At 40.5% G+C, this 26,746-nt stretch overlaps 1 protein-coding gene and 1 non-coding gene across 3 annotated transcripts, besides 5 other annotated features; both read right to left on the bottom strand.

Annotated features, from left to right (window-relative positions):
* Window positions 1–143: 143 nt before the first annotated feature.
* On the bottom strand, window positions 144–26,739 carry NOL11 (nucleolar protein 11). 2 transcript variants are annotated; one of them, NM_015462.5, is made up of 18 exons: window positions 26,587–26,739; window positions 24,888–25,001; window positions 24,713–24,769; window positions 23,149–23,297; window positions 22,038–22,095; window positions 20,482–20,626; window positions 18,027–18,215; window positions 10,236–10,312; window positions 8,652–8,775; window positions 7,921–8,009; window positions 7,530–7,604; window positions 6,983–7,167; window positions 6,703–6,828; window positions 6,320–6,553; window positions 5,665–5,743; window positions 5,067–5,159; window positions 1,089–1,196; window positions 144–932 (listed from the first exon to the last, which is right to left on the bottom strand). In NM_015462.5, the coding sequence occupies exons 1-18, from the start codon at window positions 26,725–26,727 to the stop codon at window positions 816–818; spliced, it is 2,160 nt and encodes a 719-aa protein (NP_056277.2). In that variant the 5' UTR covers window positions 26,728–26,739; the 3' UTR covers window positions 144–815. The 2 variants fall into 2 exon arrangements, with proteins under 2 accessions (NP_056277.2, NP_001290201.1); NM_001303272.2 differs by lacking the exon at window positions 22,038–22,095.
* On the bottom strand, window positions 3,874–4,005 carry SNORA38B (small nucleolar RNA, H/ACA box 38B). Its single transcript, NR_003706.2, has one exon. It is a non-coding gene; the product is annotated as a small nucleolar RNA, H/ACA box 38B (small nucleolar RNA).
* Window positions 7,175–7,375: a silencer, noted in NCBI's record as "peak2955 fragment used in MPRA reporter construct". NCBI's record gives its function as "represses an SCP1 promoter by STARR-seq MPRAs in K562 erythroleukemia cells {active_cell/tissue: K562}" and the evidence as "EXISTENCE:reporter gene assay evidence [ECO:0000049][PMID:32103011]".
* Window positions 23,085–23,316: a silencer, noted in NCBI's record as "fragment chr17:65717475-65717706 (GRCh37/hg19 assembly coordinates)". NCBI's record gives its function as "represses an EF-1alpha promoter that drives an FKBP-Casp9 reporter gene in an ReSE screen in K562 erythroleukemia cells {active_cell/tissue: K562}" and the evidence as "EXISTENCE:reporter gene assay evidence [ECO:0000049][PMID:32094911]".
* Window positions 24,845–25,566: an enhancer, noted in NCBI's record as "H3K4me1 hESC enhancer chr17:65715225-65715946 (GRCh37/hg19 assembly coordinates)". NCBI's record gives its function as "activates a minimal SCP1, AML or CMV promoter by ChIP-STARR-seq in primed H9 embryonic stem cells {active_cell/tissue: H9 hESC(primed)}" and the evidence as "EXISTENCE:reporter gene assay evidence [ECO:0000049][PMID:30033119]".
* Window positions 26,129–26,218: a silencer, noted in NCBI's record as "silent region_8876". NCBI's record gives its function as "represses an Ori minimal core promoter by ATAC-STARR-seq in GM12878 lymphoblastoid cells {active_cell/tissue: GM12878}" and the evidence as "EXISTENCE:reporter gene assay evidence [ECO:0000049][PMID:35858748]".
* Window positions 26,489–26,678: an enhancer, noted in NCBI's record as "active region_12631". NCBI's record gives its function as "activates an Ori minimal core promoter by ATAC-STARR-seq in GM12878 lymphoblastoid cells {active_cell/tissue: GM12878}" and the evidence as "EXISTENCE:reporter gene assay evidence [ECO:0000049][PMID:35858748]".

Here is a 26,746-nt window from a genome sequence, read left to right as displayed (position 1 = left end):
ATCTGCCCGCTTCCGCCTCCCAAAGTGCTTGGATTACAGGCGTGGGTCACCGTGCCCAGCTGAGAATGTCATCATTAATAGAGGCTTTACCCTGTTCCTTTGGGATTTCTTTTCATTAAGGCCTACTGAGAGATTAAAAACAATGGAGGAGAACCTGTTTATTAACGGCCACATGTGTGACTAAAGTTTACATACAGTGCCTGACCTAAAACGCAGCTTTTCACTACTGCAAGGTAAATTCAGCCATCAGGATTCTTTCTGTAAAGCTGGGCTGTAGAATCACACTTGAACTTTTCATTTGTCCTAAAGGACAGGGGAGACCGCAGGAGGCAATCACGTGCCTGTGTGAGGGCCCCTCTCTGCCCTGCTTGTGGCAGAAGACACACTGCAAATGTGTGAAATAAAGGTGAGCTGTGGAACAAATGAGCAGGGGCAGCTTCTGACTCTGATAAAATTACATTCTTCCTAGAATCACTGCTTCAATGGTCATTTTTTATTAAAAGAAAAAATTCAAAACACATGATAAGAAATTAGACTTTTATCAATACACAAATAATTTTACTTAAAATCAACCCAGTTACATATTTTTAAAAAATTGCAGAACCTCTCCACACCAATGTCCACAGCCTAGAACAGGTTCATGTGAAACCTGCAGTCCTACCCCGGAGCATCAGTTAAGTGATGGTCCAGGTACTCACTGACACGTTTCTCTTGACACTGAGATGGTCGCAAACAAAACACCGTTCTTGCCTGGATGAAGCAAGAGTTCACATAAAAGAGCTTTATAAAATGTCTATGAAGGAGAATTGATAATATCAGAAGAGCTCCAGCACTTCAATTGAATATAATCCTCTATTATTCTTTTCTTGATTTAATTTCTGTAGCTCCCGAAAACTTACTTCAATCTTGTTGAGCTCAGAATAAACAGATATCTAAAGAAAAGAGTTTCAGAGTAACTTTTACCATAATGTCTACATAGAAACAAATCTTCCATGAGTAAGTTATTTAAGGACAAATTTTAAGAATAATTGTAATTCAGGTGATACTTGGGTACAAATAAAATCAGTATATATCAAATAATCACAAACCTGAGATTTTACAAGCTTGTAAAGATTTATCAGTAGCCTCTTTGCTTCTGGCATCATTACAACAACAGTAAAATTTGCATCCAGAAGTAGACATATCCAATCCATAATCTGAAGATGAATAGGAAAAGGAAGTTAAGATTTTAAATTTAACTTCAGGTTAATTCACTTTACAAAGTCCATAAATAAACAGTTATGAGAAAAATAAGTCTTTATAAATAAAATCTGAACATTTTTGTTTAGAGATGGAGCAATTTCTACGAAATATAAAAAGGCTCATTTCTGGCTTTTAAAAAATTTATTCTAATTAAAAAAAATTTTAGAGATGGGATCTTGCTATGTCACCCAGGCTGGAGTAGGAATGCAATGGCACAATTCATAGCTCACTGGAGCCTCCAAACACCTGGGCTGAAGTGATCCTCCTGCCTCAACCTCCCAGAGTAGCTGCAATCATCCAGAGTTGCTGGGATTACAGATGCACCATCATACCCAGCTACTTTTTAGCAATTTTTGTAGAGATGGGGTTTCGCCTTATTGCCAAGCTGGTCTTGAATTCCTGGCCTCAAGCAATCCTCCAACCTCAGCCTCCCAAAGTGCTAAGACTACAGGCTTGAGACACCGCGCCAGTAGTTGTCTTTTTATTTTTAAAAATTTTAGTTTTCAGTTTCAATAATTTTCAGTCACACACACAAAAAAATAACCACTCATCTTCTATTCTGCAAGATAAATTTTCCCCAAGGACAAGGTGTTGTGTATTATAGATGAGTTGCCATAAACCAGAATTATTACTAAGCATTTATAGAAGTTTCTTATGTAGTCCTACATCTTCCAGTGGTGTAGTTAACATGCAAATATCAAAGCAACCGGGAAACTGGCTATCCATTTGGGAGGGGGAGCTGATCCCTAAGGAACTCCTTATATCAGATTAAATTCTATATGTATCAAAGAGTTAAACACAAGAAATAAAACCATGTAGTAGGGAAAGCTGGTGACTATTTTCATAATCTTAGAGTGGGAAGGGCCTTAAACATAACATAAGCCATAAAGAAGTTATAGAGGAAAACTTTAATTTTAATAGCATGAAAAAGTATCTGTCAAAAATTATACTAAAGAGAGTAAAAAGACAAATAACTTACAATGCATTTGATAGAAAAAGGCTAATTTCCTTAATATAAAAGGAACTTTTTATAAACCAAAAGACAGGAAATGCAATATACATATGGACAAAGAACCCGACTAGGCAGATTCACAAAAACAAATATAAATGGACAAGAAGAGACGGTTTCCTTCTCTCATTATCAAAGAAATGCAAATTAAAATGAGGTAACACCTGTTACCCATCTGATTGGCAAAAAGTAAGTTTGACAAAACTGAATGTCAGTAAGAATGTGAAAAAGAATGCCTCAGACCTTGCTGGTGGTAGTTGTCACAACTCTTCAGAAAGTCTGGCATTTTGAAAACTAAAAATTGCATGTACTATTTCATCCAATAATTTCTCTTGTGGGAATGTATTCAACAGGCATTCTCATAAATATACAAGAATATCTGTATAAAGATCCTCACTGAAGATTTACAACAGCAAAAAATGGTAAACAAATGACCATCAATAGAGGATTGATAGGTACATTAATTTATATTTGTAAAATGAAATAGTATGCATTGGTTAAAAGGAATGAGGCAGATGTATGTCTACTGGTCCAGGAAATGTCTAAAACAGTGCTGAGTGGGCCGGGTGCGGTGGCTTAAGCCTGTCATCCCAGCACCTTAGGAGGCTGAGGTGGGTGGATCATCTTGAGGTCAGGAGATCCAGACCAGCCTGGACAACATGGTGAAATCCTGTCTCTACTAAAAGCACAGGGGCATGGTGGTGGGGGCCTATAATCCCAGCTACTCAGGAGGCTGAGGCAGGAGAATTGCTTGAACCTGGGAGGTGGAGATTGCAGTAAGCCAAGATCGCACCACTGCACTCCAGCCTGGGTGACAGGGCAAGGCTCTGTCTCAGAAAGAAAATAAATTAAATAAATAAATAAATAAATAAAAAATAACCACTGAAAAATTTAACTTATTTTTAGGCTAGGTAAGTGTCTCATGCCTGTAATCCACATGCTTTGGGAGGCCAAGACAGGAAGATCACTTAAGCCCAGCAGTTTGAGACCAGCCTGGGTAACACAGGGAGTCCCTGTCTCTACAAGAAAAATTAAAATAAAAAAATTGTAGTTTGCCCGGGCACGGTAGCTTACACCTGTAATCCTAGCACTTTGGGAGGCTGAGATGGGTAGATCACCTGAGGTCAGGAGTTTGAGATGAGCCTGGTCAATACGGTAAAACCCCATCTCTACTAAAAACACAAAAATTAGCCAGGTGTGGTGGCTTGTGCCTGTAGTCCCAGCTACTCAGGAGGCTGAGGCAGGAGAATCACTTGAACCCTGGAGGCGGAGGTTGCAGTGAGCCGAGATCGTGCCACTGCATTCTAGCCTGGGAGACAGAGCGAGACTCCGTCTCAAAAAAGGAAAAAAAAATTGTATTTTCATGTGGTGTGGTGGCATGTACCAGCAGTCCCAGCTACTTGGGAGGGTAAGTGGGGAGGACTGCTTCAGGGCAGGATTCATGTCTGCCCCAAACTATGATTCCCACTGCACTCCAGTGTGGTTGAGCGAGACCTTGCCTTCTTGAAAAGGAAAAAAAAAAAGAAGTTATTTTTTATATGAAGAATAGCCAACTTAAGTGTTTAAAATCCTTCGTTAGAATAACATATTACCAAACCAAAACAATTTATTGTTTTTACTGCTTCTATGTGGGATGGTTGATCTTGAGCCTGCGGAGAGCAAGCTGGCCCCAGATTTCTCCAAGTCCACATTTCTTTGCCTCCAATTCTTACATGTCCAAAGACAAGGAACTATAGACATGCCTTTGTAGGAGGGTAAATACATTATTTTTAAATGTTTCTTACTGTTTTTTAAATAAGTTTTTTTTTTTTTTTGAGACGGAGTATCACTCTTGTCGCCCAGGCTGGAGTGCAATGGTGCCATCTTGGCTCACCGCAACCTCCAACTCCCGGGTTCAAGTGATTCTCCTGCCTCAGCCTCCCAGGTAGCTGAGATTACAGGCATATGCCACCACACCTGGCTAATTTTGTATTTTTAGTAGAGACGGGGTTTCTCCATGTTGGTCAGGCTGGTCTTGAACTCCCGACCTCAGGTGATCCACCCGCCTCAGCCTCTCAAAGTGTTGGGATTACAGGCATGAGCCACCGCACCCAGCATAAGTATTATTTTTAAAGAGGGACTACCATGGGATTCTCTGGGAATATTTTTTCACTAATCTGTATTCTCTTATTCCCCCCGCTTTTTTTTTTTGGGACAGAGTTTTGCTTGTTGCCCAGACTGGAGTGCAGTGGCGCGATCTCAGCTCACTGCAACGTCCGCCTCCTGGGTTCAAACAGTTCTCCTGCCTCAGCCTCCCATGTATCTGGGATTACAGGCACGCACCACTATGCCTGGATGATTTTGTGTTTTTAGTAGAGACAGGGTTTCACCATGTTGGCTGGGCTGGTCTCAAACTCCTGACCTCAAGTGATCCTCCCGCCTCGGCCTCCCAAAGTGCTGGGATTACAGGCGTGAGTCACCATGCCTGGCCTGTTCTCTTATTCTTAAGAGATGATTAAGGGGGCAACCTATATTATCAGCCCCTTCCTGTTGTCTCCCATCAAGGCTGAGGAAATTCTTGGAAAAGGGAAGGGTCATAATGAAGAATCAGGAATTTAAGATAAATTAAAATTCTGTCGTGTAGATTTATGGATCTAGAAATCTACTAAATGAGAGACTCCCCATTTCTAGCTGCAGTGGTTTGGTTTTATGAGGAAGGGATTCCTACGGCCTAGGAAACAAGAAGTCAGCTCTTGAATGCAGGTGCTGACCTTGAATACAACTTTTTTTCACAGATTTTTCCCAGCACCAAATCAAAGTAAAAAAATAATCTCACCTGGTTCAAGGTAGGTGGGTGTATTCCAGGAAGAGTCATAGTAGCATTTTCGCTACACTTCAGGTACAGGAAATACAAATACTTAAGAAACAGCTGGGTGGGAAAAAAAATGGATAGTTTATCATTTTGATAGAAAAAATTTCTATTATATAAACCCATCACGAAGATTGAAAAAAATGTTCAATTTATACATCAAACAAATACGCCAGACATCTGGAGACATAAAAATGAATAAAATGCAGTCCCTCCCATTAATGAGGAGCTCATCTGGTTTGGGGGTAGTGGTGGTGATAAGCTCATTGTTTGTAAATAATAGGTAGAGAGAACCCTTCTGTCTGCAATTCTTTTTAGTGTTTATTCATTTATAACTTAGGAAGCTTAACTTGGCCTTCAAGTTTGGCACAAGGAATATGCCATGGTCTATCACCCTAGTATCGCTCTAGTTTTCTCAGCACAATTTTTTGCCATTAGAGCTGGGCAACCTCTTATTCACATGAAAGAATTTCATAACCTTTAGAATGCCCTAACAGCTGGTTAGAGTTAAATAGCAATATTTAAACCAGAAGTAAAATTCTATACAACTTGTATGAACACTTACCGTGATATGCTGTGCTGGGATGTCTTTCAAATGAGGCAGAAGAAATGTCTCGCTATATGCTGAATGAAGAATTGCATTACTTAGGACTAAAGGAAAATCGTACTTCAACAAATAGAAGCTATTCTATTGAACTTATGAGTAACTTCCTTTGTCAATGTTAGTTTTCTAAATTTATACAAAAGTTTTACATCTCTAAAAGAGCTCTATCACCAAACACTCTCCTAATCATTGGAGATCATGTGGAATACTTTAATTGGTATTTATTCAGAATACTGATCTTCAGAATTGATAGAGCTTCTGTGTTAGTATAGCTTCTTCTTTTTTTTTTTTTTAAATCTGATGTAGAGATGGGGGTCTCGCCATGTTGCCCAGGCTGGTCTCAGACTCCTGGGCTCAGACAATCCTCCCACCTCGGCCTCAAAAAGTGCTGGGACTACAGGCATGAGCCACCCATGCCCAGCCTAGTTAAATTAAACAGGTTTAAGTAAACCTTACTTAACGTAGCATTGAACATAATCTATTTTCAAACAGAAACAAAAAACAATTGGAAAAGGAAAGAAAAACCTTAAATTATTGAGTTACTCCTTGGTTACTGCTTGGCATATAACTATATCCTATAAAGAGAAACAGAGGGATGCTCTATGTCAAAGGATACAGTAGAGCTGCTCTTTTTTGTACCACAGGGCATGAAGTGCTCTCCTTTGTTTCGTCCTGGGGCTTTTTATTTAACTCTTGATCACAGTTATTGCATTTATCTTCTTCAGGATTGAAGCCATTTTGAAGAATTTCAGTTTGCTCTTCCATTTTCTCATCATGTACAGAATTTATACTATAGTCAAAAACTGACTCCATATTAACATCTGTTTCTTGAAGACTGTCATCACCAATGCTATGATGGTAGTTGAAAGCAAGAGGTTAATCCTTATCACCAAGCTTTTGGGAAAAATTTCATTTCCTAAGCATCAAAATTTTGGAAATCAAATAATGTAACAGATTATAAATGTAGTGAAGAAAAAGGACCATTGGAGTCTAACTTACCTCAAGAAAATTTTTAAGCAAGCACAGGTGACTGATTCAGGAATGTCAGGGAACTGCTGTAGACAGAGTTGTAACAACTGTACATCTTTCTTTTTTAAGGCAATCTCCATTAAGTCGGGGCACAAACTAAGACAAAAAAATCTGAATCACTATTACATATTAAGAAAATTCTCAACTGCAGAACATTTATAAGCCTTTTGAGAGTTTCAGAAGATTAGAACTATAAAAAACAAGGTCAGAAGAATTATGCACGTACAGTGTGGTACACACAAACAGCTACCTGTAAGAAAGCACATGCGTTTGGATAAGCTGCATCAGACAGTTCCGGGGATAAAATGATGGTTCTGCTTTACACCTTTCCAGAAGTCCTGTTACTGTGTCCCCAATGACAGTATGAAAGTCAGGTGTCTGCTTCAGAGCCAAAAATTTCCGTACTTCTACTTCAATGTGTTTTTCTGAATCTTTCTGAAAGCGCAGAATTAAAGAATTCAGTTTGGCACATTAACGAATGTCACTCTGAACTTAACGTTTCCTAGCACAACATTTTCTCAAATGACTAACAGTTATCATGCATTCCTGCAAAGCTGAAGCTGACACTGCAAAGTTAAATGAGAAAGAGATAAGACCAACACCATATCAATCTCATGAGGTGACAGCGAGCATCAAAGAAGCCAAAATATCGGATCAACTCTGACACCCTTAAGATACTACAAGATGTTAGCTATAGGTATAAAGATGATCATAAAAATAAGACAGAACGAAGAGTAGATGCGATTTCTTTGGAACACTTGAGTTTGATTTTTCATATTTCAATATTATTTATTTACCATTATGGTTGACAAAAGTTGTTTGGATGGTGGAACCTCTGGCTGTAAACTCACTTCAATTTTTCGTCTCCTTAACTGGAATTAAGTAAATTGATTAGGATCACAAAACAATATAAGAGATCCAATACACATTTAGAGGGATATGAAACACTCCAAAGAGATTAGCACACTTTTGCTCTCATCAAAAACTTTTAAAAGTAAATATAACTAATAGACAACATGGGGCATTTCTGGATAAAGAATGTGAGGTTACTGGGTTCAAGCCGCAAACTGTCCTGTCATTATAGTCAAAGCTCTAAGAGTTGTAAGGATATGATTCATTAAAATAATTCAGTCTTTTTCTGTTTTTCAACATTTGCACTAATGTTTCAATTTCAACTACGAAACTTACAATTCTTCTTGACTGCTCTGAGTTCTGGAACCCAAGTCCACATCCTTGAGGTGTCTCCCAGTTTACAAAATGGGACACGACATGAGTTCCTAAGAAAATGCAAAATGCACAATTTCTGGAATGTTTTGACTTACTTTTTGCCCAACTAAACAATCAAAGAACAATTTAAAAAAAACCACTCATACAATTTAAGAGAGGCTTTGAAGTCCATGTAATTCTGATAACCTCAGATAAGAAAATCATAATATAGTGAAAAGGCTGTATGTCCAACAACGTTAAGCTAACAGATGAGGCCATCGGTAAACAAGGGAGGGCAGAGGTATTACTGATTTTGTTTGGGGGTTCTCCCATTGCCCCTAAAATCAGAACACTGGCATTCAAAACACAGTGTAGCTCTTCAGCTTGCCACAGAACCTGCAATTTGGACTGTTCACAAGTTTCAAACTTTTTTTTTTTTGTTTTCCATTTTCTGTGGAGTACAGGGTCTTACTATGTTGCCCAGGCTGGTCTTGAACTCCCGGGCTCAAGCTATCCTCCCGCCTCTGCCTCCTTAAGTGCTGGGATTACAGGGGTGAGACACCGTGCCTGGCCTGTTCACAAGTTTCAATAAACAGCGGTAAATTTCAAAATTAAGAAAAAGCTTTACAAATAGAAGGCTGTGGGAATCTGTACGAAACTACAAGTTAATAAAACGGTTTGTATTAATAAAACAAACAGAAGTAAGTTTCTACCTGGATCTTGACTATGCTTGAGTTTTCCAAGAGCACCTGCTAATGATGACACTTCACACTTGTATGGAATCACAGTTAGAGATTTTCCATGTAGCATAAACAAATGTTCTCCATAATACCAGAGCTACAAAAAAAGTTATCAAAAACATAAGCAAATTTTTTTCTCTTCTAAGGTATGACTCAATAAAGCCTTATCACTCACTGTATAAGTGCTCAGTATTAAAAACGAGGCAAAGTAAGCAACTTTCAAGAAGAATTTTATATGCAGAGCTTATTAAATAGGCTCTTATTTTTGCCCAAGTCTGAATGAAGCATAATTTAAAGAATATTTTCAACTCAGAAAAATTTAATCAACATATACATTTTAAAAAACTCAATTGTTTAAAATTAATGTGGTCACTATTATACATCTATTAACATAATAATTACCAAGGCTACTATAGCATGGGCAAACTTCTAATGCACTAAATTTACAAACCGGAATTTAACACTTTATATTTTATGATTGTAAAAATAAGACAGGTATGTGGAAAAAAAAGCCTGAGGGAACAAGGAAATAAAAAAAAGTTTGTAATAATAAATAATAAAATGATAAAACAAATAAAATAATAAGTTGTAATAAAAAAGTGTGAGTTTATTCACAATAAAAAATTGTGAATAGTTAAAATTACTTTTTTACATATAAAGTATAATTAAATTGTATGCTGAGAAACCTTGTCTCTTTATCCTCAAATTAAAATTACCAAAACATCCTATTGCCTTGATTTATTTGTATATGAATATTCATTCACTAAGTAACTAAAACTTACTGTGCACCTTGCTAAGCACTGAAAATACACTGGAGAAAAAAACTCACAAGGAACCCTGCCTCAGGAAGTGCACAGTCTGTTCAGCTTCAATTTTAATTCTTTTAAGTATTTTTATGTAATTTCATGGTAACATTTAACATTTAACACATAATCTAAAAGACTAATTTATTAGGAAAAGTAACAGCTTGAGGGTATAGTTCAAAATACATAAGTAAAAAGACAAAACCAAAGAGCAGCTAAAAACAAAAGCTGTTTTATTAAATAGCTAATTGTTCTGGCAAAAATTTAGAATTTTGGAAGTGATTTCAACAATAACTGAACTAAACATAATCCCTCAGGTAAAAAATAATTCTTAAATTTGATCAATAACTGCCAAGCTATTTACTTATTTATTTACAGAGATGAGATCACACTATGTTGTCCAGGCTGGACTGCAGCAGCTCTTCACAGGCACAATCATACAGCACTGAAGCCTTGAACTCCTGGGCTCAAAAGATATTCCTGCCTCAACCTCCTCAGTAGCAGGGACTACAGACACATACCACCACACCTGGTTTGAAAAGCTGCCAAAATATTTAGGTTCAAAGAGATCTCTTCCCTTACAGCATATTTATTAGGCAGAAAAATAACTAAATTTCTGAAGCAGGAGGATCACTTGAGCCCAAGAGTAAAAGACCAGCCTGGGCAACAGAGTGAGGCCCCATCTCAAAACAAAGCAAAACAAAACACAACAAAATAACTAAATCAGAGAAAGTACTCAAGTGAAAAAACTTACTTGACCACTGGTCCCTTGTGGTAACTCTTTTGAAGTCTGTAGTGTTTGAAATTTTATGTTCCATACAGAGAGGCATTCTATAAAATAAGACATAAATTCAGAAAAAAGTCCCAAGTATAAATATATGATATTTTGGGGAAGGGGGGAGTTACAGTTAAATATATATGCTTTGCTTTAGTATAGAAATGAATTATGAAGACAGTGATTGCCACAGGAACTGGAAGAAATGAGAGCTCATGGTAAGAAGAAGCCTGGAAAGGTGAGCCCTGAGGAAGGGAGGGCTTTATGAACCAGGAATAACAATTAAAAACACCCAACAAAGAAAAGCCCAAGACCAGATGGCTTCACTGGTAAATTCTACAAATTTACAATTTAACACAAATCTTCCCAAACTCTTTCAAAATATAAAAGAGCAGGAAATACTTCCTAAACTCATTTGGGCTTTTGGTTGCTCTGATACCAAAGCCGGACAAAGACACCACACAAAAAAACTACAGAGCAATATCCCCATGAGTATAGATGCAAAAAAAAATCCTAATCAAAATACCAACAAACCAAATCCAACGGGAAATATTAAGATCCATGACCAAGAAGGATTGACTCCAGGGATGAAAGGGTAGTTAACAGAAGAAAACCAATCAGTGCAGCACATACATCAACAGAACAGAGGGAATAACCATATGATCACCTCGGTTGACACAAAGCATTGTGCAAACTCCAACAGTCTTTCATGACTTAAAAAACAACAACAAAAAAAACTCAGAGAGCTAGGAAAAAGGAAGGAGCTTCCTTAACATGATAAAGGGCATCTATGAAAAACCCACAATTACCATCACTCAACAGTGAAAGACTAAAAGCTTTCCCCCTAAGATAAGGAAAAAGACAAAGGTGCTTGCCCTGCCTTCTTCACCACTGCTATTCTACGCAACTATCATCACACTGAGAGGTTAAAGACTGAAAACTGTCCCCCTAAAATGAGAAACAAGACATGGAGGCTTATTTTCACCACTGCTATTCAAGTTCTAGCCAGGCAAGAAGAAGAAAAACAAAAATCCAATTTTTGTTTGTTTGTTTTGAGACAGAGTCTTACTCTGTCGCCCAGGCTGGAGTGCAGTGGCACGATCTTGGCTCACTGCAACCTCTGCCTCCTGGGTTCAAGTGATTCTCCTGTCTCAGCCTCCCGAGTAGCTGGGATTACAGGTGCATGCCACCACGCCCAGCTAATTTTTGTAATTTTAGTAGAGACAGGGGTTTCACCATGATGGCCAGGCTGGTCTCGAACTCCTGACCTCAGGTGATCCACTCACCTCGGCCTCCCAAAGTGCTGAGATTACAGGTATGAGCCACCACGCCCAGCCAAAAATCCAAATTTAAATGGAGGTAAAACTAACTCTACTCACAGATGACATGATCCTGTATAGAGATCTCGAAGAATCCACAGGAAAAGATTAGCATTAATAGCATTAATAAACAAATTCAGCAAGGTTGCAGGGTACAAGATCAACATACAAAAATCAGATGCTCCTATATACTAAAAACAAAAAGCAAATTAAGAAAAAAAATTCCGGCAGGGCATGGTGGCTCATGCCTGTAATCCTAGCACTTTGGGAGGCCGAGACAGACATATTGCCTGAGCTCAGGAGTTGGAGACCAGCCGGGGCAACACAGTGAAACCCTGTCTTTACTAAAATATAAAAAATTAGCCAGGCATGATGGCATGCACCTGTAGTCCCAGCTGCTCAGGAGGTTGAGGCAGGAGAACTGCTTGAACGCGGGAGGCAGAGGTTGCAGTAAGCCAAGATCATGCCACTGCACTCCAGCCCTGCAACAGAGTAAGACTCCATCTCCAAAAATAAAACATTTTTTTAAAAAAAGAGAAAAATAATTCCATGTATATTAGCATCCAACAGAATAAAATACCTAGGAATAATTTTTTTTTTTTTTTTTTGAGACGGAGTCTTGCTCTTATTGCCCAGGCTGGAGTGCAGTGGTGTGATCTTGGCTCACCGCAACCTCCACCTCTCGGGTTCAAGTGATTCTCCTGCCTCACCCCTGCTCCCCCAAGTAGCTGGGATTATAGGCATGTGCCACCACACCCGGCTAATTCTGTATTTTCTTTCAGTAGAGACAGGGTTTCTCCATGTTGGTCAGGCTGGTCTCAAACTCCTGACCTTGGGTGATCCGGCCACCTTGGCCTCCCAAAGTGCTGGGATTATAGGTGTGATTACTGCGCCCGGTCCCTAGGAATAAATTTAACCAAGTGAAAGCATTGTACACTAAAAGTTATAAAACATTGCTGAATGGAATTAAGGAAGACATAAATAAATAGAGATATCCTGTGTTCAGCAATTGGAAGACTTAATATTAAGATGGCAATACCACACAAAGCAACCTACAGGCTCAGTTCAATCTCAATCAAAATTCCAATGGTCTTTTTTGCAGAAATGGAAAAGCCAGTCTTCAAAATCACATGGAATAATTGTAAGGGGCCTAAACAGCAAAAACAAACTTGAAAAAGAAGAACAAAGTTGGAGAGCTCATACTTCCTGATTTCCAAACTGATTATAAAGTTACAGTAATCAAAACAGTGTGGTACTGGCCCAGTGTAATAGATTGAGAGTCATCTAGGGCCAACTGATTTTTCAACAAAGGTGCCAGGACCACTGTGGTGCTGGGACAACTGGAGAGCCACAGGCAAAGGAACAAAGTTAATCCCTTATTTTACACCATACACAAAAATAACTCAAAATAAATCAACAACCTAAATGTAAGAGCTAAAACCATAACATTCTTTGAAGAAAACGTGGGGATAAGTCTTTATGACCTTGGATTTGGCCATGGGTTCTTGGATGTGGAACCAAAAGCACAAGCAACGAAAGAAAAATAAAAATTGGACTTCATGAAAATTAAAACTTTTGTGCACGACTTTGGGAGGCCGAGGCGGGCGGATCACGAGGTCAGGAGATCGAGACCACGGTGAAACCCCGTCTCTACTAAAAATACAAAAAATTAGCCGGGCGCAGCGGCGGGCGCCTGTAGTCCCAGCTACTCGGGAGGCTGAGGCAGGAGAATGGCGTGAACCCGGAAGGCGGAGCTTGCAGTGAGCGGAGATCGCGCCACAGCAGTCCCGCCTGGGCGACAGAACGAGACTCCGTCTCAAAAAAAAAAAAAAAAAAAAAAAAAAAAAACTTTTGTGCACGAAGGGACATTATCCAAGTGAAGACAACCTATAGAATGGGAGAAAATATTTGGAAATCATATGTCTGATAAGGGTGTAGCATCTAGAATATATAAAGAATGCTTACAATTCAACAAAAAAGACAACCTTATTTAAAAATAGGCAAAGGACTTGCATAGACAATTCTCCAAAGAAGACATATAAATAGACAATGAGCATATGAAAAAATGTTCAACACACTTAGTCATTAGGGAAATGCAAATCAAAACCGAAATGAAGTACTACTTCACACCCACTAGAATGGCCAGAATCCAAATTATGGAAAATAGCCACGTGTGAGCAAGAATGCAGGGAAACTGGAACCACTGTACAATGCCGGTGGGAATGTAAAATGGTTCGGCCACTGTGGAGTTCGGCAGTTCTTCAAAAAGTTAAACACAATCAACAACGAAAAGAGTATAACTAAAATGTTTGCAATGCAAAGGAATGACAAATGCTTGAGGTGATGGGTACCCCATTCACCCTGACGTGATTATTATGCATTGCATGCCTGTATCAAAATATCTCATGTGCCCCTTAAATACATACACCTGTTATGTACCCATAAAAATTAAAAAAATGAAAAACTAAATATGGAATTAACGCATGACCCAGTAATTCCCCTGCTAGGTGTATATCCCAAAGAATTAAAAACTGGTACACAGCTGGGCGCAGTGGCTCACGCCTGTAATCCCAGCACTTCGGGAGGCTGAGGCGGGCGGATCATGAGGTCAGGAGATTGAGACCATCCTGGCTAAGACGGTGAAACCCCATCTCTACTAAAAATACAAAAAATTAGCCGGGTGTGGTGGCACCCACCTGTAGTCCCAGCTACTTGGAAAGCTGAGACAGAAGAATGGTGTGAACCCGAGAGGCGGAGCTTGCAGTGAGCCCAGATTGCACCACTGCACTCTAGCCTCTGGGCGACAGAGCGAGACTCTTGTCTCAAAAAAACAAACAAACAAACAAAAAACAACAAAAAAAACTGGTACACAAATACATGCACACGAATGTTCATAGTGATATTCACAATAACCAAAAGGTGGAAATAGCTAAAATATCCATGAATGGATGAACAGATAACAAACTGTTATATATATACAATGGAATATTACTCTACCATGAAAAGGAATGAAACACTGATACATGCAACGAGGTAGATGAACCTCAAAAACATTTGGCTAGCCAGGCGTGGTGGCTCTTGTCTGTAATCCCAACACTATGGGAGGCTGAGGCAGGAGGAGCTCGTAGCAAGACCTCAGAGCTACTAAAAACTAAATATAAAAACAAAAATTAGGCTAAGTCTAAGTCAAAGAAGCCAGACACAAAAAGTATTGTATGATGGGCCGGGCGCGGTGGCTCACGCCTGTAATCCCGGCACTTTGGGAGGCCGAGGTGGGCGGATCATGAGGTCAGGGGATCGAGACCATCCTGGCTAACAAGGTGAAACCCCGTCTCTACTAAAAATACAAAAAAATCAGCCAGGCGTGGTGGTGGGCGCCTGTATTCCCAGCTACTCGGGAGGCTGAGTCAGGGGAATGGCATGAACCCGGGGGGCGGAGCTTGCAGTGAGCCGAGATTGCGCAACTGCACTCCAGCCTGGGAGACAGAGCAAGACTCTGCCTCAAAAAAAAAAAAGTATTGTATGATTTCATTTACACAAAGTATCCCAAAAAGGTAAATCCATAGAAGAATGCAAATTGGTGGTTGCCAAGGGTAGGGGGCAGAGGAGAATGAGGAGCAACTGCCTAATGGGTCCACAGGTTCCTTTTGACATAATGAAAATGTTTTAAAACAAGACGTTGGCCAGGTGCAGTGGCTCACGCCTGTAATCCCAGCACTTTGGGAGGCCAAGGTGGGTGGATCACTTGAGGTCACGAGTTCAAGACTAGCCTGACCAACATGGTGAAACCCCGTCTCTACTAAAAATACAAAAAATACAAAAAGAAAAAGGAAAAAAATTAGCCAAGTGTGGTGGCACATGCCTGTAATCCCAGTTACTTGGGAGCCTGAGGCAGGAGAATCGCTTGAACCTGGGAGGCAGAGGTTGCAGTGAGCCGAGATCCCGCCACTGCACTCCACCCTGGGCAACAAGACTAAAACTCTGTCTCAAAAAAAAAAACAACAACAACAAAAAAAACTAGACAGAAGTAGATGCACAACGAACACCAGTGACTCCTTCACTTTAATTTCTTCTACAAGGGCCTACCAAAAATTAAAGATAAATGAAAGTAAACAATGAAAAAAGAAATGAAAATTAAAAAGAGCATTACAAAATTTAAAAAATAAAACGATTAATTTTATGTTATATGAATTTCATCTTAATTTAAAAAAACAGAATAGATGGTTCATGTCTGGCAATGGGAGAATGATGAAGCACACTGTGGGGCCACCCTTCGGTGAAATATTACACAGCTATTCAAAAAGCAAGGAAGATTAACAAATAATATTATATGGAATGATCTCTGAGAGATCTTGGGTAGGTGAATAAACAAGGTACACAACAGTATGCATGGTGTGCTACCATTTGTGTTAAACGAGGAGGGGAAAAAACCCCTTAAGTAGTAGTATTTGCTTGTATATGGACCAAAAAAAAACCATAGGAAGAGACACAGGAAACTCTATAGTAGCCACCGGGTTTTTTTGGCAGGGAGGTAGAGCAGAAATAAGAAAGAGAGGAAGATGGGAGAAGAGAGAGGAGAAGCACAGCTTAGTGAAGTGGTCAAGAGCCAGGACTTAAGAGCGGCAGGGTACATGGCTTAACAGAGTTCACCTGTTCGGGTTGAATCCTAGTTCCACTACTTAGTTACCTCATACCTCAGTTTCCTGTTTTGTAAAGGGGGATAGTAACAACTTTATTTCCTCCTAAATGGTAGAGGACTAAATGATACAAATAATGAGATAATCTTAGTAAAGTGCCAGGCACATGGTAGTTATTTTATTTATTTATTTATTTATTTTCTGAGACGGAGTCTTGCTCTGTCCCCCAGGCTGGAGTGCAGTGGTGTGATCTCAGCTCACTGCAAGCTCTGCCTCCCAGGCTCACGCCATTCTCCTGCCTCAGCCTCCCGAGTAGCTGGGACTGCAGGTGCCCACCACCACACCCGGCTAATTTTTTGTATTTTTAGTGGAGACGGGGTTTCACCATGTTAGCCAGGATGGTCTTGATCTGCTGACCTTGTGATCAGCCCGTCTTGGCCTCCCAAAGTGCTGGGATTACAGGCATGAGCTACTGTGCCCGGCTCGCACATGGTATAGTTATACTATAACCAGGAGCTCTTTTTTTTTTTTTTTTTTTTTTTTTGAGACAAAGTCTCACTCTGTTGACCAGGTTGAGTGCATAGTGCAATCTCGGCTCACTGCAACCTCCACCTTCTGGGTTTGTGCGCCAAAAAGCCCAGGTGATTTTTTGTATTTTTGGTAGAGACATGGAGTTTCACCATGTTGGCCAAGCTGGTCTCGAACTCCTGGCCTCAAGCAATCTGCCTGTCTCAGCCTCCCCAGGTGCTGGGATTACAGGCGTGAGCCACTGTGCCTGGCAGGAGCTCCTATCTTTTTTTTTTTTGAGACGGAGTTTCGCTCTTGTTGCCCAGGCTGGAGTGCAATGGTGTGATCTTGGCTCACTGCGACCTCCACCTCCCAGGTTCAAGCGATCCTCCTGCCTCAGCCCCCTGAGTAGCTGGGATTACAGGCATGCGCCACCACACCCAGCTAATTTTGTATTTTTAATAGAGACGGGGTTTCTCCATGTTGGTCAGGCTGGCTCGAGCTCCCCTCAGGTGATCTGCCTGCCTAGGCCTCCCAAAGTGCTGGGATTATAGGCATTGAGCCTTGCTCCTATGTTAATAATAAGCAGGAGAAACACAGAACAAAGTACACAGGTGAGGATGGGCATATCAAATGTGTGGTCAATAGAGAGCACTGCCTGAATAAAGCAGAGGGTTCTTGCTCAGAATTTGGGAGAAAAGGTTGGAAAAGGTGGACAGGTCTAGGCTGTGAAGGGACTTATGCTAAACGACAGAGTCTGAGTTTTCTAGTGAAGGCTGGGGTCTGCTATCCTGCACTGGCAAGGAGCAATCGTGTTCTTCATGACTGACTAGGAAGTCTGGCGGGGAGTTGGTGGGTAAGGAGGCAAGGTGGCGATGAGAATCCTGTTCAGAAGTCACGGAGTCCAAAGGTACACTATTAGTTCCCACATTTCAAGGTGTTCATGTCCAGTGGATTTCCATGATGTGAAATGTTGCCAAGAATCCAATCCTCAAATGTAGGCTTACTAATGTTTCAAATACCTGCAGGCTAGTATGATGGTGACTAGTATATTCGCCATTTTTATTTCTTTATGACATAGTTATGAGCATGGTGGTGATAGCAAGAAGTGTTTTTGAAAGATCAATGCAAAATAAAAATAAAAACCAATTCAAGAAGAATTAGGAAGGCACAAAAAAAATTGAGTATGCTGATAAAGAGAATGAATTAGTCTGGGTAATAACGAAATGAAAAAGAAAAGGAAGACTAAAAGGTACACCGTGAAGGAAACATACAAAGGCCTTCTTAATGAATTGGATGTCAGTTACCCTTAGAAGCTGCTAGTGGACTTCCTAGGACTGCGACGTGATCCTGATCCAGGGCAGTGAGTGCAACTCCATTTCGAGCGTTACCAGATACAACAGCCTTGAGCAGCAGTGATTTAACTAAGCTCTGATTTTTTTCTGGGTCAGCTGGACGTATTGGTATCAAGGTTTCATATATACAACCATCAGAGCCTGTTGGAAACAAGCATTTGTTGTTGGTTATTGAAGGATACTTCTATATCTATTACAGTTAAATGTACTAGGTTGTTTATAAGATTTTACCAATTTGATAAAACAGCCAACCAGAAAAATAAACAATCCCATCACTGTGCTTTCTCTTAAAGAGTACCACAAATTTAAACTGGGGAAAGAAGTACTATTAATAAAAATCTCAGTAAGAAATGTAATAGTCAAGAAATACAAACTGTAAATACCTGCAATAACTTAAAATATTGAGGGGGACTCCCAAGAATATAGATCATCTAGTCCCTAAAAGGATATATCCCTCATTAGAAAGTAATTAGCATCTGGTCTATACGTTACCTTTCTTTCTTGTTTGTTTTTTTGAGACAGGGTCTCACTCTGTGGCCCAAGACTACAGTGCAGTGGTGTGATCACAGCTCACTGTAGCCTCAACCTACTGGGCTCAAGTGATCTATCTTTCACCTCAGCCTCCCAAATAGCGGGGACTACAGGTGCACAAACCTCACCCAGCTAATTAAAAAAAATTTTCTTTTAGACATAGGGTCTCGCTATGTTGCCCAGGCTGGTCTCCAACTCCTGGGCTCAAATGATCCTCCTGCCTTGGTCTCCCAAAGTACCGGGATTACAGGTGTGAGCCAGTGTGCTTAGTTTATTATAATTCTTCCTACCTCATCACCCTGAAAACCTTATGAAATTGCTCTTTCTTGTGGGCCAACTGAATTTCGGCAGTTTCATGTGGTTCTAGCAATTGTTACGTAAAGATTTATATAACCCTTTGGTGCACACTTCCTCACTTCAAAGTTCATTAAGCTAAACATTAAGTACATTCCAATAGCCCCCAAGATATGAAAATGATAGGAGCCTTTTAAAAAATAGCCACCGCAAACATTTGCACACTGAAAAACTTCACAAAGATTTTTAATTGTGATAATATGGAAATGTTTCCTATGTATTGCTCTTGTTTACTTCTCCTTCACCTTCTCAGAACAACTTCAAAAGCAGCCATGAAGGGTGGAGGGGAGAGGGTACCACAAAGACTTTTTTTTTTCTTCCCCGCCCTAGAGGCCTAAGACTGGGGTTATACTTTAGACCATTTCATAAAGGTATTACAATCTATAATAAAAAGCAACTGGCATGGGCCAAAGCTGCTGTTAGTCTCCTTTTGCCCATCTGTCTCAGTTGCTATTCAAGGAAGGGCATACTAAATCTAATGGTTGGAAAAAAGGAGCAGAGGGGCCATTCAATGCCAAGCATAGACAGTTTATGTTTCACTAATTACACTCAAAGAACCTGGGCCTTATCAGCTAAAAAGTGATTTCTCTTTTTCACTGGTATTAACATTGTTACTTATTGCTTATGGTAAATTTTTTTGTTTTGTTTTGTTGAGACGAGTCTCGAGTCTCGCTCTGTCCCCCAGGCTGCAGTGTACTGGCACGATCTCAGCTCACTGCAAGCTCCGCCTCCTGGGTTCACACCATTCTCCTGCCTCAGCCTCCAGAGTAGCTGGGATTACAGGCACCCGCCACCATGCCTGGCTAATTTTTTGTATTTTTAGTAGAGACGGGGTTTCACCATGTTAGCCAGGATGGTCTCGATCTCCTGACCTTGTGATCTGCCCACCTCAGCCTCCCAAAGTGCTGCGATTACAGGCGTGAACAATGCCCGGCCAGCTTATGGTAAATTTTAAGACATAAAATATAAAGAAGCAATGTTAGAAAAGGATGCTGTATCTAAAGTACTTCAATAGGCCCTCAAAACACAGGATCACTGATCTAATGCATGGCCAGACATGCAAAGTACAAAAAGCAAAGGCATGGGCCGCACGAGGTGACTCACACCTGTAATCCCAGCGCTTTGGGAGGCCAAGGCGGGTGGATTACCTGAGGTCAGGAGTTGGAGACCAGCCTGACCAACATGGCGAAACCGTCTCTACTAAAAATACAAAAATGAGCCAGATGTGGGGGTGGGCGCCTGTAATCCCAGCTACTCAGGAGGCTGAGGCAGGAGAATTGTTTGACTCTGGGAGGCAGAGGTTGCAGTGAGCAGAGGTTGTGCCACTGCATTCCAGCCTGGGCGACAGAGCGAGACTCTGTCTCAAAAAAAAAAAAAAAAAAAGTGAAGGCATGAACGCTGTAAAGAAGCACAGAAATGGCTGTAACTGAATGCTTCACAAAGTCTACGATTCAAAAACATACACTATCCTATAACAATCCTCTATTTATAATCTCTGAAAGTTTAAAGAAAGAAAACTTACTTAATGACATCAAAGAGATGAATTTCCGATCTACAGATGCAGTAAAACTCTTTATAACAGAGTTTTCGTCTTGTCCAAGTAAGAGTGTATATTTGGTTAAGATACGTGAGTTAAACATTTGCACGTAAGCAAAGTAATTTCCATGCTGCAAAAAAAAAAGGTTATTTTATAAATATTCCCATTTCAACCAAGTATTTTAACATATGTTAAAACCAGAAGTTGTCACCCCATTCTACTTACATCAATGAGTACTTAAAAACATCTTATGCTATCAAATTTGTTTGTTTTGAGACAGGGTCTTGCTCTGTGGCCCAGGCTGGGCTACCGTGGTGTGATCTCAGCTCATTGCAACCTCCACCTCCCAGGCTCAAGCAATCCTCCCACCTCGGCCTCCCAAATATCTGGGAATACAGGTGTGTGTTACCATGCTACACTATTTTTTTTTTTTTAATAGAGATGAGGTCACCACACCCAGCCTTAAATTTAAAAGGTCATAAAAAAGTTAGAGGCTGGGCTTGGTGGTTCACACCTGTAATACCAGCACTTTGGGAGGCCGCAGTCGGTGGATCACAAGGTCAGGAGTTCGAGACCAGCCTGACCAATATGGCAAAACCCTGTCTCTACTAAAAATACAAAAATTAGCCAGGAGTAGTGGTGGGCGCCTGTAGTCCCAGCTACTTGGGAGGCTGAGACAGGAGAATCGCTTGAACCCAGGAGGCAGAGGTTGCAGTGAGCCGAGATTGTGCCACTGTACTCCAACCTGGGTGACAGAGGGAGAATCGTCTCAAAAAAAAAAAAAAAAAAAAAAAAAAAAAAAAAAAAATTAGAGATCTTCTGAGAGAATAACGAAGTCACATTTTAGTTTAAAAAATAATGGTTTTGCGCCAGGCGCAGTGGCTCACGCCTGTAATCCCAGCACTTTGGGAGGCTGAGGTGGGTGGATCACCTGAGGTTGGGAGTTCAAGACCAGCCTGACCAACATGGAGAAACCCCGTCTCTACTAAAAATACAAAATTAGCTGGGCGTGGTGGTGCATGCCTGTAATCCCAGCTACTCGGGAGGCTGAGGCAGGAGAATCACTTGAACCCGGGAGGAGGAGGCTGCGGTGGGCTGAGATCGCACCATTGCTCTCCAGGCTGGGCAACAAGAACGAAACTCTATCTCAAAAAAAAAAAAAAAAAAAAAAAAGTTTTGAAATTTCACAGCTGGGCACAGTGGCTCACACCTGTAATTCCAGGACTTTGAAAGGCCAAGGCAGGAGGATCCCTTCAGCCCAAGGAGTTCGAGACCAGCCTGAGCAATACAGTGAGACCCTGTCTCTACAAAAAATAAAACATAAGCCAGGATGGTAGTGCATGCCTGTAGTCCCAGCTACGAGGCAACTCGGCAGGCTGAAGTGGGAGGACTGCTTGAGCCAGGAGGTTGAGGCTGCAGTGAACCATCGTGGCACCACTGCTCTCAAGCCTGGGTGACAGGGCAACACCCTGTCTCTAAATAAATTTTTTTTTTTTAAAGAAATTTCACAAAATGGGCCAGGAATTGAAGATATCACTTACTTTTTCAGTAATAAAAATTAAAACAGGATGTCTGAATACTACGAAAAACTTTGTCCATCTACAAAAAAAGAAAAAAGAAAAATTATAGGATGCAAAAATCACCAGCTGGGAGACACATATCAATCAAAATTTAATCAAAGTTTTCATTAAATATTTTTTAGAACCAGAAAGACATCAGAGAACACTTAATTGGGCGTTTTGAAACATATACCACAAGCAATACGCATTTGTCAAATGCAGCTCTGGATTAAATGCAGGTTATTGAACTCCCCAGATGATAATGTGAATTTTAAAGTTCTAAGAGGGGAGATGCAGTGCTTCCCAAACTTAAATTGACTCCCCTACCTCATTTTCTTCAGAGTTACTTTTGGGACTCGTGTTCTGAGGAAAACATTAAGATCTCAATATAGAGGAAGCTGAGGCATAGAGAAGTTACTGGCTGCACAGTTTGTGGCAAAGCAGCAACTAGAACTCAAATCCTCCAAGGATTTCCCTCACAACAGTTGCTCACACCTTAGAGGGATTCATCAGGTCAGTCTAATATATAACTGGTTATTGGCCACGTTGTAAGTACCAGTCTTCACTCTGACTTTTAGAAAATTAGTTTCTACCAGGTGGACCTGGAGAAAACAAGTAAAATGAACAGGAAATGTGATGAAATAAAGAGTATCAGAAAGATGTGGAATCATGAAGTGTCCTTCTATCCCTTGATGAGTCATTTTTCCAGTTTTATTTCAGAATCTGGGAAAGCAGAGGTCTTAATGCATCATGATTTCACTAACACGATGCACTTTTAGCCAGGGGACAAGGATGGGAGCTTGGTAGTCAGGGCAATATGAGAGGAACAAAAAGATTTTGGTCTTTTGGGATAACACATTTCATCCTCAAATAACTAAGTATCCAGTTCTGTCAAGACTTCATATGACTCTATGGTTTCTTCAATCTTCATGCCCAGAGGCTTTTTAGGATGTTGTTTTAGTCAGTGTTTTGTAAGTGATTTTTAATTAGGTTACTTTCATTATGTTTATAACCAAAATACTTTTGAACAAGGCAAAAAAATGTTCAGTGCATTTTTATTTTGATAAATTTACTTACAAGTACTGGAACTTACTTAATCACTTCTTCATCAGAGATAACAGTTTCAATTTTCTGCTGGGGGTCTGCAAGCAAGGCCTCTAAACCACGAACAGCACCTTCCTTGAAGAGCACCAAGGGTTCTGTCCCTTGCACTGAAAGTATCCTATATACTTCTGCTGACAACTGGAAGAACATAAAAAATTTTAATTTTTATTCTAAAACAATTTATACCTAATATAAGGATATTTAGAGAAGGCTTCTTTTTAAGTGACTGCTTTATTTTCATTTTGAATTAATTTTGCTTTATAATTATGTATGGTTCCAAAATCTAACCTACAACACAAAACACATTTAGAAGTCTTAACTTTTTCTCTTATCCTCTCTACCTAGTCCCTGCTTTAATCTGTAAATTCATTTTTGGTTTACCCGTTGTGACTACTAGAGGTTAGGCTAAAACCTGGGTTTCTTAAAACTGGGAAAGATACAGATAAGCCATTCATGCAGAGGTACATGCAATTCTGGTGTTAGATAAAAACTAATGCCACAATTGTAACTACAGCCTGCAATTCCAGAAAAAGAAGTTAACACCGTGTGTGAGGAAAACAACAAAAAAACCCCCACTGTTTAAAATTCAGGATTGTGTTATGAATTTCAAGGTAAATGAAAAGAATGGAGCCAGGGAACAGCACAGCTAGCTAGCTAGAAGTTTCAAGGATCCAGGCAACAACTGCATTATATCTGAATTAACCCTATTGTGAGCCACTTCTAAAATGTGCCAATTATATTTAGACATTTAGAACTGGAAAGAACTTTCAAGATTAACCTAGTTTAAGATCCTCATTTTATAAGTAAGAAAAAATGAACACACTCTAGGTCATCAGTAGAACATGCACAGCTAGTCATGTTTTTATTTTATTTTTTACTGTATTATGTGCCACTCTTCAAAATGTACAATACATGGGCCAGGCGCAGTGGCTCATGCCTGTAATCCCAGCACTTTGGGAGGCTGAGGTGGGTGGATCATCTGAGGTCAGGAGTTCAAGACCAGCCTGGCCAACATGGTGAAACCCTGTCTCTATTAAAAATACAAAATTAGCTGGACATGGTGGTGCATGCCTGTAATCCCAGCTACTCGGGAGGCTGAGGCAGGAGAATCGCTTGAACCCAGGAGGCGGAGGTTGCAGTGAGTCGAGATCGAGCCATTCCACTCCAGCCTGGGGGACAAGAGCGAAACTCCGTCTCAAAAAAAAAAAAAAAAAAGTACAATACACCAATACACGAAACTTGCAGGGTCTATTCTACCTATTCTAAGAAAGGGCACAGAAGTTCATTTTGCTCTCACAAAAGACACACTCCAAACATCCAAACTCATGGAAATAAGTATAAATTTCTCATTCATCAATTATATAAATCCTCATCTCCTTAACTCATGGAGACATGTTACCAAGATACATTGTAAGATAATTAGAATGAAAACCTGATTAGGACCTTATGCTTATTTTCCCAGAGGTATTAAAATAAATAACACATACTTTATTATGAATGATTCTAATTCACCAATAAGCTAAACAAATATGTTGGAAAATTCAAAGACTTACTGTAGCTTTAAATACTTTATCCAGGTTTACATCTTCATTATTCCATATTCTTAAAACCTTAAATCAAAACATACTAGTTAAAAACTATCCTATTCTCCATTTACATATAATAAATACAAATAGTTAATAATCAACATTTATATTGTATATATTATACAAAAGTTTTAAAACTCACCTTATTATCGTGTACAACAACATACTCTCCAGTTTGAAAGTTGCACACAGCTGGACATGTTATAATTTGACCTTGTTTCACTGACCAGCTCCCCAAGGGTTTCTGATCAGAAACCTAATGAAATTAAGATAAATACAATATTCAAGAAGTCAACTTCAAACATTAAAAGCAATTAAGTTTATAATCAATAAAAGAAACCATTAAAATGACAGCATTTAAAAAATTTACTGGCCGAGGGCAGTGGCTCACGCCTGTAATCCCAGCATTTTGAGAGGTCAAGGTGGGCAAATCACGAGGTCAGGAGTTCGAGACCAGCTTGACCAACATGGTGAAACCCTGTCTCTACTAAAAACACAAAAATTAGCCGGGCGTGGTGGCGTGCGCCTGTAACCCCAATTACTCAGGAGGCTGAGGCAGCAGAATCGCTTTAACTCGGGAGGTGGAGGTTGCAGTGGGCCGAGATCGTGCCACTGCGCTCCACCCACCTCGGCCTCCCAAACCTCTGGAATTACAAGCGCACCTCACCACGTTCGGCTAATTTTTGTATTTTTAGCAGAGACAGGATTTCACCATGTTGGCCAGGCTGGTCTCGAACTCCTGACCTCAAGTGATCCACCCACCTGGGCCTCCCGAAGTTCTGGGATTACAGGCGTGAACCACCGCGTCCGGCCAAACCTCTAAAAGGGTAGTTAAAATGAAAATATAACTAAGTTCCTAAATAAGTAAATAAGCAACCCTTTGTTAAAAAAACAATAGTACATTTAAAAATTGATTATATTATGCCTCTGCATGGGAAGTTATGCCTCTGAACAGCGGCATGGGAAATTAAGTAGGGACATCTGGGATCATGTCTATCCAATTCCAATCTGCCATTGTATTCCTATGCAGGAGCTGCAAAACTGCAAATCTACTTGACATCCCAAGTGAAACCCAATAGAGTTAGCAGAGTCAAAACGGCACAGGGAGCTGTTAGCAACCTGTTCTCAAAACGTCAAAGCAGATACCTAACTTCTTTAAAACATGGAAAACTATGTTCAGCAGCCCAGAGAAAAGTAACTGCTTTCTATGCGACCACCAAAAGCAAGGTTAGAAAGTGTTCTCTATCAGGCTTTAGGCTGAAATGGGGGCAGGGCTTGCAGATTTTCCCAGGACTCAACTCCAGGATTCCCAGCGTGAATCAGAGATGCCAACAGACAACTCACTTGGAGGCAAGATTCTTAGCGAGCTATCAAGAAAGTCCCTCACTCTCTAAAATTGTCCCCGCCCCTACAAAGAGAGGGGTGTGAAGTGTAGACACGGCTAAACCACTATTCCCACTCTGTCAGTGTCATCCTCTCCCGCCCAACCAATCTCCGTTCCATCCTCCCGCGGGCGGCTAAGATAATAAAGACCCTAGGAGGGAATCTTAGCAAGGCCAATTCCGCGAGTTCCGAAGCAAAAGCACAGGTTTTCTTTCTTTTCCGAGTCTAACCCACGTGCACTCAGACGCTCTGCCCCTGCAAGTCGGAAATATGCCTTTACAGGAAGGCAAGCAAGCCAGATTCCAGACCTCACTCAGCGTCCCCAACAGGCCCAGCCGGCTCTCTGCTAAGCCTTCTCCACGATCTCTTTCTGAAGCTGTGAGAAACTTGAGCTCGAGCTCCGCGCTCAGAAAGGGGCGAGAAGGCAGTCGGGGCGCTCCCAAACCTATTGCCTTCACCTTATAGAGGATGACTGTCCTGCCGCTGTCTGTCACTAGAAACTGGTCTGTTTTGTCGCTCTGCTCCACGCCTAGGAGTCCTTCAGGCCCGGCGCTCAGGACTACCGAAGACAACGTGAATTCTTCCTCCAGCGCTGCCATTTTGAGCAAACCTAAGTAC

Source organism: Homo sapiens, chromosome 17 (assembly GCF_000001405.40).
Source record: "Homo sapiens chromosome 17, GRCh38.p14 Primary Assembly".
In the NCBI taxonomy this organism is placed as follows: Eukaryota; Metazoa; Chordata; class Mammalia; order Primates; family Hominidae; genus Homo; species Homo sapiens.
The sequence above is the reverse complement of the archived record's forward strand: the minus strand, read 5'-3'. Positions and strand labels throughout refer to the sequence as shown.